Source organism: Homo sapiens, chromosome 5 (assembly GCF_000001405.40).
Source record: "Homo sapiens chromosome 5, GRCh38.p14 Primary Assembly".
In the NCBI taxonomy this organism is placed as follows: Eukaryota; Metazoa; Chordata; class Mammalia; order Primates; family Hominidae; genus Homo; species Homo sapiens.
This window is the reverse complement of record NC_000005.10, coordinates 88772402-88786547: the sequence shown is the minus strand read 5'-3', so window position 1 is coordinate 88786547 and position 14146 is coordinate 88772402. Positions and strand designations below refer to the sequence as shown.

The 14146-nt window shown below is 38.2% G+C and overlaps 1 protein-coding gene across 79 annotated transcripts in view; it reads left to right on the top strand.

Annotated features, from left to right (window-relative positions):
- The window catches only part of MEF2C (myocyte enhancer factor 2C), a 186989-nt gene that overhangs the window by 117558 nt on the left and 55285 nt on the right, over positions 1 to 14146 (top strand). For 3 of the 79 annotated variants that reach the window (NM_001364353.2, NM_001364357.2, NM_001364356.2), the window contains exon 1: positions 1037 to 1209. The exons of the other annotated variants lie outside the window; for them this stretch is intronic. The gene's annotated coding sequence lies outside the window, so the exon portion shown is untranslated. Of the gene's footprint in view, positions 1 to 1036; positions 1210 to 14146 lie in introns of those variants that run through there. 79 annotated transcript variants of the gene reach the window in all.

Here is a 14146-nt window from a genome sequence, read left to right as displayed (position 1 = left end):
ATTGCCTTTAAGCTTAATAAAAGGTTCAACCTTAAAGTTGCATCCCACATCGTTAGTTTAACTTTACAGATGAGATTTTTTTTTCCCCTCTCTAAATTCTAAAACATGATACATCTGGCTGAGAGGCTGGAAAATTGTTACATGCCTGTGCAACATTCTTACAACCTAATCAGTTCTTCAACTTTTCTCGCAGTTTAATCATTGGAGAATGTTCTTTGTTTTTGTAGTCACTGTTTCACATAGTAACAGCTTGTTGTATTTTGGTCTGTTTGCCAGAGGGTAGGTTTATTTTTAAAACCCTGAACTCTGAATTTTTCTTTATTTTTCCAAGATTGAAAGCAGCTGAAATGCCTGGAGTTACAGGTTGAAGGCTGCTTCACAATATGTGGAGGAAGCTTCTTTCCCTCCTCCCTTTGTGTGTGTGTGCTTTTTTTTTAATTTTTCCCTAACAAATGTCTTCTAACTGGTAGTTGTCTAAAAATAGAAAACTGCTTAACTAAAAATAGCCTGGCTCTCAGTCGTGCCAAGGAAAATGGAGAGGAATAGGCGTGGAATAGAAGGCTGAGTAATCCAGTTCTATTCATTCAGAGAAACCTTTGAGAATGCGGGCGATGATAAAGTGCCCTCAAAAAACCACAGGCCCGACTCTCTCTTCAGACTTCTAGGTGCCAATAAACATTTTAGCCCCAGGATACTTTTTTTTTTTTCCTCATAGGTTGTAAACATTTTCTGAAAGACAAGGCTTTGTTTCAGGGAACCTGACAAACTGCCATAAATAACTAACTTTCCTAAGGTCTTAAAAATTCATATTTGTAAGATGTATTTTAAAAGAGAATCTTAAATGAAAGTATTGTAAAATAATGTACGTCGTGTAATAATTAACAGAGGAAACTCTGTTATAATAAAAACCACTTACTGCTTGCAATTAAACTCAAAACTTTAAGGAGTTTCACAGCAAGAAAATTATTCCTGTGACTCATTGTACCTTAAGAGAGCAGCTGACTCATTTTAGTTTAGCTCCCTGAGACATGAAATTCTCTTGTTCAGTCTGTATCCCCTTAACATGCCAACATTTAGTCTCTTTCTTAAAATTATTATTTTCACTCAAGCAGATTTTTACTTTTAATCTTTAAAATGATGTAGAAACTACTTTGAAAAATAGCATTTCTGGAGTAGGATGGCTTTTAGTTTCAACAAATGGAATTCTGAGTAAGTCATAAAAAAATACGTGTGTGTGTGTGTGTGTGTGTGTGTGTGTGTGTGTGTGTATGCCAGTTTTGCAATGGGAATGCTTTTTTTTTCTATTTTGTTTTGCTTAAGTAATCTGTAAACCAGGTCAAACATAGCAACAGGGTGTGGAAATGTCAGCACAGTTCATAGGGTTATACGAGTCTGAGCATTGTTATGTTCAGTTCCTGTAATGCTGCTGGTGATAAGACTCTTGAGACAAAAGACGATAATTGATGGAAAGAGGCTTAAATCATTGCTAGAAGAATCAAGGTCCTTGTATCTGTGTACATCGACTCTTCTGGTCTCCTTCCGTCTTGTAAAGCATTTTGTCGTCTTGCATGTTGGCCCCCTACTGCTCTTTGTAATGGATGCAGACCACAAGTGATTCCTTTATGCAGCATACAGGGTGTAATTGTGTCTGTGTGGTGTATTAGTAATTACCAAGCTGAATTCCCATATTGTATCTTTACTGCAGGCATGGAAAAATAGGACATACAACCCTGCGAAACCATTTTCAACCTAGATAGTGAGCCACTTAGAGCTGTATTCCAGGGACAAAGCCTTTTACATGAATACTTTTTAAACAAAATTTTCATTGTTGAGTCATTTGTACCATGCAGGATAAATTCAGTTTGGGAAATTATTACCTTTGATATTATATTATTCATTTCTGACTCTTCAGCAAAGTCTGTAATATGGAAAATATTGGTTCTTTTTAACTGCTGAAATAAAAAATATTTTTAGATGTAATAGTGATATGAGCTATGGTAACTATGCTAGGCTATCATACAGAAAGAGTACTACGTGAATTACTACATATAATAGATTCTGTAACATTTATAAACATGAAATAATATAGTTATTTTAGTAGCATTTTATCTTAAACAGTTATATGTTATACATAATTTATCAATATTGGCTCAAGCATTGTTAAACTTCAGAAAAAGCTGACAAAAAATTTTGTTACAGTAAACAGATATAAATTATTAATTTCTTTGCTATAAAATTTGCATCCATCCTTTATGTATTATGTAGCTGATATTGATTTGACTACCTCCAAATCATTGTGGATTTGAAATGTCTACAGTATTATCTGTAATAGAAAGCCAAAATAATGCAAGCAGCTTGGCTTAAACAAAAGAAAGTATGCTTATTCTATGCATCAAATGCTTATAATGACAGTTAAGAAATATTAAATAGAAGTGCAAAGAAATTAATACAGCAATTTCATTATCGATTTTCAATGCAGTTAGACTTATATTGCAAATTATTCATTAAAGCATTCAAGATTTTTGTTATATTTTTACCTTCATTTCTGAAAGTGGCCTTCCAGTATGTATATCTTAAAAATTTGCTTCCACTTTTATATGTAGATTTTGTTTTATTCAAGCAATAATTATTAAATTCTTAGGATATACAGAACTTTATATTGATGCCAGGAGAAATACAAGTTTGGAAGACATTGTCTGTGACCTCACAAAACTTACAGTCCAATTAAGGTAGAAAATACATGTGGGAATCAACTGGACAAAACAACGTAATGAGAACTATGGGGTATTTAGAGGGAGGCAACATAGCACAGTGTTGAGGAGCATCAGTTCTGGAGATAGACTGCCTGAGTTCTATATGTCCTTGGGCAAATTACTTAGACTGTCTGTTTTATTTTTTATTTTATTTTATTTTTTTTGAGATGGAGTTTCACTCTTGTTGCCCAGGCTGGAGTGCAATGGCGTGATCTCAGCTCACCGCAACCTCCACCTCCCGGGTTCAAGCAATTCTTCCTCAGCCTCCCGAGTAGCTAGGATTACAGGCATGTGCCACCACGCCCAGCTAAATTTTTTTTGTATTTTTAGTAGAGACAGGGTTTCTCCATGTTGGTCAGGCTGGTCTTGAACTCTCGACTTCAGGTGATCCGCCAGCCTCGGCCTCCCAAAGTGCTGGGATTACAGGCGTGAACCACTGCACCCGGCCAACTCTCTGTTTCTTAATCCCATCGTCTGTAAATAGAGGTTAATAATACTATCTTCTGCTTAGCTGTTATGAGAATTAAATGGATAAACATTTATAAAATGCTTAGAACAGGGTCTGACACTTGGTAAGGTTTACAATAATGATAACGACGACCATGATGGCAGTGCCGCTCCTGATACCATGTCATCAAGCAATAAGTGGTAGAAAGAAGTTTAAAAGGTCAGGACAGGCAGCCATGATTGGTAGTCCTTTTTAGGCTCAAACAAGTCAAATTCAGAAAGATGGATATCAATTGATGAAAAACGTGGGCAAACTTTCAAAAAACCAAGTATGCAAAGAGTCACAAGAAAAAAGAAACAAGGGCATGAAAAGTATTAGCTTGATATGAAGAGAATATTCACATAAATAAAAAGATATAAGAAAGATGGCAATGAAAATGGGAAGAAGAGACAGGGAAATCAAGCACTCTAAATATTTGATGTGGAATTAAATGTGATACAATTGGCATCAGAAAGACACTCCGTGGTCTCGAGCAGTAAATTAGCATAATGACAATTCTTGAGAGAGGTTCCGCTGGAAAAGACAGAAACAGTTGTGAAAAGTGGAAGTGCCAAAATATTTTACGTTTTGTAAGTATGTATATGTGTGTGTGCTAAAAAGCCTGAAAGCTTTCACCAAACTTATATTTTTATTTCATAGGACAAGTTGCTTCAGAAATATTCATATAATTTTAGTTTGCACTAATAAGGTGCACATGCATTTCTGTGACTGAGGACTATTTATCACATACAGTGTATTAAAAAAGCAAATTATAGAGGCCTCAGGAGGTTTTTTGTTGCGTTTGTTGTTTTCGTTTTGCTTGTTTTTATTTTTTTTTTTTTTGAGATGATTTCATGCCCATTGCCCAGGCTTCAATGCAGTGGCACAGCCTTGGCTTACTGCAACCTCCAACTCCTGGGCTCAAGTGATTCTCCTGCCTCAGCCTCCCAAGTGGCTGGGACCACAGGCACATACCACCACACCCAACGAATTTTTGTATTTTTTGTAGAGACAGGATTTTGCCATGTTGCCCAGGCTGTTCGAATTCCTGGGCTCAAGTGATCCTCCCACCTCAGCCTCTCAAGTGCTTGGATTACAGGAGTGAGCCACTGTGCCTGGCCTAGGAGGTTTATTTTAAACTATATAAGCTTCTTTACAGTAAATTGAAACATAAATCAAAATCTTATAAATTTAGAAGTTCCTAATGAAGTAGTGCACTTTTTAATTTTTAGACAGAGTCTCGCTAGGTTGCCTGGGCTCTTCTCAAACTCCTGGGATCAAAAGATCCTCCTTCCTCAGAACATGTGCAGTTTTTTGTTTTGTTTTGTTTTGTTTTTGACAGAGTCTCACTCTGTTGCCCAGGCTGGAGTACAATGGCACGATCTCGGCTCACTGCAACCTCCACCTCCTGGGCTCAAGCAATTCTCCTGCCTCAGTCTCCCGAGTAGCTGGGACTACAGGCATGTGCCACCACACCTGGCTAATTTTTGTATTTTTAGTAGATACGGGGTTTCACCATGTTGGCCAGGCTGGGTCTTGAACTCCTGACCTCAAGTGGTCCGCTTGCCTCGGCTTCCCAAAGTGCTGAGATTACAGGTGTGAGCCACCACACCCAGCCAGGACATGTGCACTTTTAATGATCACCTAAACAGGTCAGGATTCTGAATACAATACTGCCAAATATGAAAACTCTCCCCTTACACTTTCACATCCATATAATAAAAGCCCTGCCCTTTCATAAAAAAGACAGTGTGGTGCTGGAGGAGGGACAGACACACATTTTAGCGTCAGACAAACCTGGTTTCTGCCACTTTCATAAACTCTGTGATCTTGGGCAACATTCTGAATTTCCACCAAGCTTCAGCTTCTGAAGCAGTAAAAAAGGGATAATAAAACTCACTTTTGGTCTTCCTGTAAGAATTAACTTATGTACATATATAGCCATTAGCACATGATGCTCATACAACTGGTATTTATTTTCCTGCTGTTCCTTTTTGCATATGTAAATTTAGGCAAAAATTTTAAACTTTCACTTGTATATACACACGCATACTTTGGACACTGAAATCTTCAGTGTATTTGGTGCTTACATTTAAATAAAATGTCACATTTTATAAATTATCATATAATGTATGTATATTTCTTGTGTAATAACGTGATGAAATTCTTCAGAAATAAGGTCCTCACTACACAGATTTTTAAACTAGGGAAAGGGTAGAAAAAGGAAAAAAACTAGGAGTCAAAAGTAATTCTATTAAGTCCAGTCAAAATAGAGTTAAAAGAAAAAAAAAGTGGAACTCTGCCAAATAGAGGGGCTTGCCCAAGTTCTCTTAGTGAACTCTGGTAGATAGCATTAGGATATAATTTATTTCCTGGTGTCCCCTTTGAACTACTTTGTATCCAAGAAGAGGAGTTAGACAATGAGAGAGAAAGTGAAAGAACGAGAGAGATGTAGGGAGAAAGAGAAGGGGGTAGGTTGATTGAGATTTCAAGACAATGGAAGTAATTAGCAAGGATAACACAAGTGTCCCTATGCTGCCAGTTTCTCTTCTGACACAAAAATAAATAATTGATTTCATTGAAGTATTAGTCAGTCAACAATGCTTAGTGTGATGATATTGTTAACAGTGAAATATATATGTTGTGCATTGCTTCTAGGGTGAAACTTAAGTATCTTTGCCCTGGCTCCCGCAGTATTTTCATGGCAGTGAGGATACATACTCTTGGAAATGAGCCAGGAACACTCTAATGTATTACACATGTGGCTTAATACCAGGTGAACAGGTATTTTAAATATTCTAATCACATACCCACAATGTATATCGCTACTGGGAAAAGGATATCATTTTTAACCACTGGTGTTTGTTCTGAGCCATACCTTTTTCACACTCTGAAGATTTTCAAGACGAACTGTGATTTGGGGAGGGATGGCCATCTCAGTCAACTTTAACTGATAGGAGGTACAACAAATTTATAGTTCTGAACTCTGCACCTGGAGTCTGGCTACCGAAATCAAACCACTTGCTGACCAGCATAAAAATAAATAGGAAAATATTTCAGTGTTTTCCACAATTGCGTTTGTACAAATACAAGAGATTTTATTTATATTAAAGAAAACTGTAGTTTTTCGTTTTTTCTTTTTTCTTTTTCTTTTTTTTTTCGAGATGGATTCTCACTCTATCATCCAGGCTAGAGTGCAATGATGCAATGTCAGCTCACTGCAACCTCCACCTCTTAAGTTCAAACGATTCTCCTGCCTCAGCCTCCCAAGTAGCTGGGATTACAGGCTCCTGCCACCATGCCCAGCTAATTTTTTTGTATTTTTAGTAGAGAGGGGGTTTCACCATCTTGGCCAGGCTGGTCTCAAACTCCTGACCTCAAGTGACCCACCCGCCTTGGCCTCCCAAAGTGCTGGGATTATAGGCGTGAGACATGAGACACTGTGCCTGGCCTGCAAATTCTTATATTATGATTAGGGGAAGAAATTTGTTTTCCATTAGAAACCACCATTAAGTTTGCAAGCATTGTAACATAAAAAAAAAAAAAACCTCACTTTGCTGAGGCCTAAATTTCTATATTGAAATATTACTTTCTGGGGGAAAAAGATAAAATCTACCCAAAAGTACATCTAACGAGAAATAATTCTGAAGATTCTTTCAGATGTTCTGCTTCATGCTGTACACACACACACACACACACACACACAAACCTACACAAACCTACATATATTCACATATACATGCAGTTAATGTGAGACTGGCAGTTTCCAGCACAAAATACATAGCTTCCATTTCACTGTGCACAAGTTCCTGTGTCAGATCAACAAAACTTTCATTGATTTCTATCTATCTGCTTGGCTTCGACAATAATGTAATGCAATCGGGGAGGGAGAGTTTCTAACTTCTCCCAGCCACCTGCCTTAACCTCATGCTTCATTCATCTCGGTATAGACTGGATTCCTTTGACAATTAGTCGATAGTGTACATTACCTCATGGAAGCAGACTTTGAACTATGTTTTGCTTCCTTTTAATGGTACTGTTTCCCCTCATCTTTTAACAGTGATCTTTTAAAAAGAAGTGTGATTCTGTTCAGAATGATGGTGATGGCTGTTTGAGACATTTTAAAACTATTAGGTGGTTAATATGTGGTTAATATTATTTATTCAACAGAAAATGGACTTTAAGCGCATGTGAAAAGCAAAGCATCATAATTGTAAACTTCTTTTAAAAGTTATACAACTTTATTTAGTTTCAATTTTCCAAAAGTCCAGTTTCCCATCTGAGAGACATGGGTATTGGCCCGGCTGTGGGAAACCTCCAGAGAAAACAGGGGAGCTCCGCTACTGCGGAAGCAGAGTCAGTGACTGTGGGTGGCATTTTCTCCGCTGAGTCAGGTCCTGCCAGCCCTACCCCAGGCTTCTACCAACAGTGCAGATTTTCTGGCAAGATGCAAAACCCAAGTGTTTGTGGTTCTTGAAGCTCTTCTGCAGTTTCTCCTTTTCCTTGGTACTTTGGGAAATTTTCACTTTAGAAGATCACATCTTACTGTGTCTTCCTTGTAACTGTTGAAAAAATTGGGAAGTTTAAGTCATTTACTTTATTTTTCCTCTCATCTGGCCTATAAAGTAACTTGGTGTTATGTGCATGTTTTTCAACAAACAGGAAAGGGAAGAGATTATATACCCATGATTTTGAAAATAATTTTTATACAGCATACAAGATTTCTCGATGATCCCTCGCTTTGCCCAGGGAGAAACAATAGTTTCTCCATAAAAGCATACATTTTTCTCTTTTCCCCAATCTATTCCCTCAACCCAAGAGAAAATGTAGTCTTGTAGTTACCAGCCTTTGCATCCCCCATCTGCTCAAGCAAATTGAAGAGAAGAGGCAAGTGGTTGGCTTCTGCATCTGAAGAATATAGGTGCCAAAATAATAAAGTGGACCTTTTTGTTAGTCACAGAGACTTGAGGTTCTTGCTAGTATTACTCTAATCATTGTAATAAACCTGTGCTTCATTTTATGCAGATAGGTACAGTCTGTATATTATTGGGAAGGACTTCCTTCCTAGGCTTAGGAATGTTAGGAGTTGAAACATTTAGCAGCCGGGCGTGGTGGCTCACGCTTGTAATCCCAGCACTTTGAGAGGCTGAGGCGGGTGGATCACAAGGTCAAGAGATCGAGACCATCCTGGCTAACACGGTGAAACCCCGTCTCTACTAAAAATACAAAAACAAAATTAGCCGGGCGTGGTGGCGGGCATCTGTAGTCCCAGCTACTCAGGAGGCTGAGGTGGGAGAATGGCGTGAACCTGGGAGGCGGAGCTTGCAGTGAGCCAAGATTGTGCCACAGCACTCCAGCCTGGGTGACAAAGGGAGACTCCATCTCAAAAAAAAAAAAAAAAAAAAAAAGAAAAGAAAAATTTAGCACCCTTTCTTTTCCTTGGGGCTTCAACAACCTACACTTCATTTTAACTAGATAGATAGTACCTACATATTGGTGAAGGGCCTTCCCATCTATTCTAGATAGTACCTACATATTGGTGAAGGGCCTTCCCATCTATTCAGTTGATATTATAGCAAAATAGTAGGAAAAACATTTTAGATAATATTTTTTATCAGAAAATGAATTCCGTTACAAACACATCCCTTTATGAAAAAATAAGATTTGTCAGTCATTTCACCAATTTCAGCTGAGAGTAAGTGTTCAAAGGATACACAGATACACAGGCATGGTTTAGGCAATCCTTATTGTTAAACAACCTTGCAGACGCAGAATAATTTGATAGCTAAGAGAGAAAATTCTGGAGCTCATTCATGGGTTCATAGACTTGGTTCCACCACTCACTAACTTTGTAAACTTCAGCAAGTTCTTGGGCCACTGTGTGCCTCTTTTTTTCATCTGTAGATTGGCAGTCATTGTGGAAGAGTAGCTTGTGAGGATTAAAAAAAGACCCATGCAAAGCCACGGGCTCAGTCCCTGGCACATGTACATGCTTGGTAAATGGTAGGTGTTATTGCTGAGGAATGGATTCAATTAAAATATTAAGAAAATTAATATTTTGATAGTGATGGAAGACTGGTTTAATTTCCTCTTCATGCCATAGAAGAGGAAATGTTGTTTTTATAATTACCTAATGAAGAATCTGGAAGAAATGATTTTGCAAATGATACCCTTAAGCTCATCACTGAACTAACAAAATAACTGAGATTTCATAAGTTATGGAAATTGAAATACCTAATTTAAAAAGTCAAGTTTGCAGTACATTTCCATGGATAATGCCTGAAGTTATTGAAGCCATCATGACTACAAAATCAGGCAGCCAGGAGGCCAGGTCTACAGAGTCTGTTCAGAGAAGGCTGTCTGGGGCCACAGGACAGAGTGCGCCGTGGGGCTGGCAGCATGCACTTGGCCTTGTTGAGTTAGACAACAGGTGCCGAGCCACTGCCAGGTGTGGATATCAGGATGAACAAAATTGCTGATGGCCTGTCATAAAGCTTTATGTTAGATCATAAAGTGCTGAGCCCATATGATGAGAGATGAGTTCACATAGCAAGGGATCACTTGAAGTGTTCACTTGATTTTCCCCTCCCTGTCTTTCACACGATCTTCAAATTCTCTCTTTTTCACTCATTTTCATTCCTTCCCTCTCTCCCTCCCTCCCTTTCTTTCCTCTCCCCCTTCCAGTATTTTTCTATCTATTTATAACCTCTGTCTCTCATTCTTGGTATTCTTATTTTTAAACATTTTCTAAGTAGAATGACGGTTACTGGAGGCCGGAAGGGGTTGAGGTTACCAGAGGCTGGAAGAGGTTGATGAGGGCGGGAATGAGGAGTTGTTGATCAAAGGGTACAGATAGACAGAGGGAATAGGTTTTGAGAGCTACTGCACAGCAGGGTGGCTATGGTCAATAATAATGTATTTATATTTCAAAATAACTAAGAGAATAAATTTCAAATGTCTCACCATAAAAAATAAGAGAGGTGATAGATATGTTAATTAGTTAGATTTAATCATGCCACATTGTATACACATAACAAAATGGCACATTATACCATATAAATATATACAAGTATTGTTTGTCAATTTAAAATAATATTACTAATAATTTTTTTAATTATGGGGAAAAGTTCATCATAACAGTTAACAAATTGATTAATGAAATTTATCTTAACAATTTTATGAACACCAAAGCATCATCAAAATAAAAGTAGAAGAGGCATTTGATGAAATTCAGTTTCTATTAATAAAAATTCTTAATGGACTAGGAATAGAAATTTCCTTAAGTTTATGAAATATATCAACAAAAAGGGTTCATAGTAAGTGTATAATGGTGAAACATTTGGCTCATTCCTTTTAAAGTTATAAATGAGATAAATATGCTCCCATCTCTGCTTTAAGTCATACTGAGGGCCTAGTCAATGGAACAAAATGAGATAAAAAAATAAAATGTATATAAATCACACACACAAAAATACTCTCTATACCCTTCCATTTTTCAGTTCTCAGTGTCACTCTAGCTTTTATAGCATCATGTGAAATCCAAGGTGACAATGCACACCTAAGAATATTATCATCTGCATAATATATGCAGTCATGGGAAATGAGATTTTGTGAAGTAATAATTGGTCCATGATTCTGGACTGTCGATTCATATATGGATAGCATTCAGAGAATAAGGAAAATAAATTGAGATGAATTTGATTTTAATTATTAATTTAATTTGGAAACATAAATTTTGAAAAAAATTAACCTGATAATAAAGTAACTTAGTCTATATAGGCCTTGATTAGCATGCAGTATCAGTAATAGTACACTTTGCAAAATATTTCTTATGAATTATATTTTATTTGTAAGTATTTAACCTAGAAAGAAGGATCTATTTGCCATAATGCAATGTATGTTAGGAATTTTCAGATTGTATTTATTCATGACTCGTGTCCTCTCCGAGCAATTACACTCAATTCATAATTGCCTACACTAGTGAAAAAGGATCCTTCACATTAATACCATAAAACAGCAGGAACTGCAATGTGAGTCCAGGCACAGCAACCCCCAATAACAAATGAGCCAGGAAACTAGCAGGCAAGTCCCAGTGGAAAGTTGAGCAGAGGACCCTAACTCTGAAATGCTACTGGCACTTTTGATGTCGGTCCTAGAAATACTCTGATTATTTTTCTGGTACTAGCTGGAAATAATTATATTGTTAGGTAAGCAAATAAAGGCCCTCTAATTAGCAAACTTGAAATTTACATTAAATTATGAAATTCCCAGGGCCCAGTACTCTGCCAGGTACTAAGGATACCCCGACACAAGGCACAGACCTGCCCTCAAGGAGCGCAGCCTTGTGTGGAACAGAGGCAGGCACACAGTGGCATTGCAGCATGCAGAACTACGACAGGACTGCAGGAAAGACGAGTTTAAATAAAGAAAGCCACTGGAATGATGTCAGTGTGTTTGCAGCAGAAGCCTTGAGAAACTGCCTCAGAATTTTGAAGCACATTTATTTTTAAGCACCTGAAGCTCTTATCAAACAGTCCTATCAAACTTTCTTTCATCAGACACCTACCCAAGTCAACTGAACGTAAAATCCACCACTTATTATAAATTCACATATTAGGTGAGTGGTAATGAGATAACAGCTACAGAGGATAAATGGATTCAATTCTCTCCATCTCTACAAGTAATCTATAATGTGACAGGAGAGATAAAAGGTAGAAACTTACTTTGGGAGGCCGAGGCGGGCAGATCACGAGGTCAGGAGATCGAGACCATGCTGGCTAACACGGTGAAACCCCGTCTCTACTAAAAATACAAAAAATTAACCTGGCGTGGTGGCGGGCGCCTGTAGTCCCAGCTACTCGGGAAGCTGAGGCGGGAGAATGGCCTGAACCTGGAAGGCGGAGCTTGCAGTGAGCCGAGATCGCCCCACTGCACTCCAGCCTGGGCGACAGAGCGAGAAAAAAAAAAAAAAGAGGTAGAAACTTATTTGCAGAAAAGAAACAATTATTTGCATTTTAAGTTTACTGCTGTGAGTTTTGGAGATTTAGTCTGTGAGACTTTCTTAATGCATGATGTAGTTGTTGGTAGATAGAGGTTTGTTCTCTGACCATTTGACAACATCCTGAAACTCTAACAACTTCTACCTCCAGGTCAACTGTTGAACCTGCAAGGAGCCTTTTCCCCAGATCTCTGACTTCCAGTCGGCCTTTCTGCCTCTTGTTCACTAGAGAGTACATCCTGGTTTCCTGTCCTTATGCTAAGTCTGATGAAACCCCAGGATGTCTGTCTGCTGGCTTAACTGGCCCTGGATCAGCAACTGTCCCCTGACCAGCAACCATCTACCCATTATACCTTTCACTGCCTCTGTTAAGCAGAAGGTTTGCCAGTATATGAACCAATACAGTGAAAACACTAATATTGCATTAGCCAAGTCCCAGGAGAGATTTTACATGGAAAGGGAGAAGTAATATACAAGTAAGACTAGAGACCAAGACTGCTCACCTTTTACAGACCTGGCAAACCTGACTAAAACGCGAGAGAGGTTTGGTTTTCAAGGGGGAACATTTGGATTCCTAGCCACTAGCTTTTGCTTAGTCTGCCTGAGCCTCTCCATTGTATATCATCAGGCTGTCCTTACCATTAGTCCCCTGTAGGACACCTATCCAGAAAAGTTAACCAATTTGTAGCAACATTCTACTGTCAGATATCCTACTAGTTGCCAAGGATGGAAAGTCGTCAGGAGACTTCCTGTCTGCAAGAATCTTATAATCTAGAAAATGATATAAAAGCAGAAAACAGATAGCAACAATATGAAATAACTGTTCATTATATAGTTCTAAGGAAGAATAAAAGAGACATTAATTCTATTAACTCTCTCTTCCACGTGATTTTTTCCTTTTATAATTTAAGTTTATGTACGAGGATGGGGGATGGTGGGGTTGAGGGGCAGATGTTGCTAAGGGTAGAATCAGTGTATATGTACAGTATGTATACAAACCTAATAAGTGCCCTCTATGTGTTTTTAGATTTCATTGTAATTCCATTTTAAATAAGAACTTCTGTTGCTACAGCCTTGAATTCCATTATTCTTTCATCGACAATAACAACATTTATTGAGTGTCATCCATGTGCTGGGAACATTCAAGATGCTGTGGATACAGAGGTGAAAAAGACAAAGATTCTGCTCTCATAGAACTTCGTTCTAACACACTGAAACTCTTCTCTCCCCAGGCAGCCACAGGCGGCTGTGACTTACGTATTGTGTTCCCACAATCCCAGTGACGCTCTGCACTCCTGATACTTCACTTTTCTCTAATCAGAACAATATGGGTATTGAGCAGTATGTGTTAACAGTTGTCAATGGCAGTCTCTGGGATGGCATATCACAAGCTCAGGCAAAACCCTCAATTAGCATCTAAGTGTGTTTGTTCTTCACAGGGCATATTAACTGGGGAGATAGACTATAAGAGACCCTCCCTGCTCATTGCTGTCAGATCACTATAGAATAACCAAAACCAAAGTGAAAATTTTCAAGAGTGAATGACTTATAGCCACTCCTTGAAGAGCAGGCTGGTTTATTAGGAAGAGGGAGAAATCAATTTTAAAAAGATTTGAATGTCACGTATTATGTGGGAAGAAGTTGAGGATACCATAAATGAAATCTGTGTTCACAATCCAGAATTGGTCCTTGAAAAATCTCTCTGCCTGCTATTTAAGAAATTGAAGAATAGAAATAACTTGCAGTATTTTTGGTGCTGTCCCAAATTGAAAACTGTTATTGGTGATGTTGGTCCTGTGACTTAAGACATGACAACCACAACATAGAGAATGTTCCCCATCAGGACAAGGGCCAGCCCAGGAGAAAAGTGGGCCAGGGTCAAGCCCATTAGATGTCTTTACCTCTCTT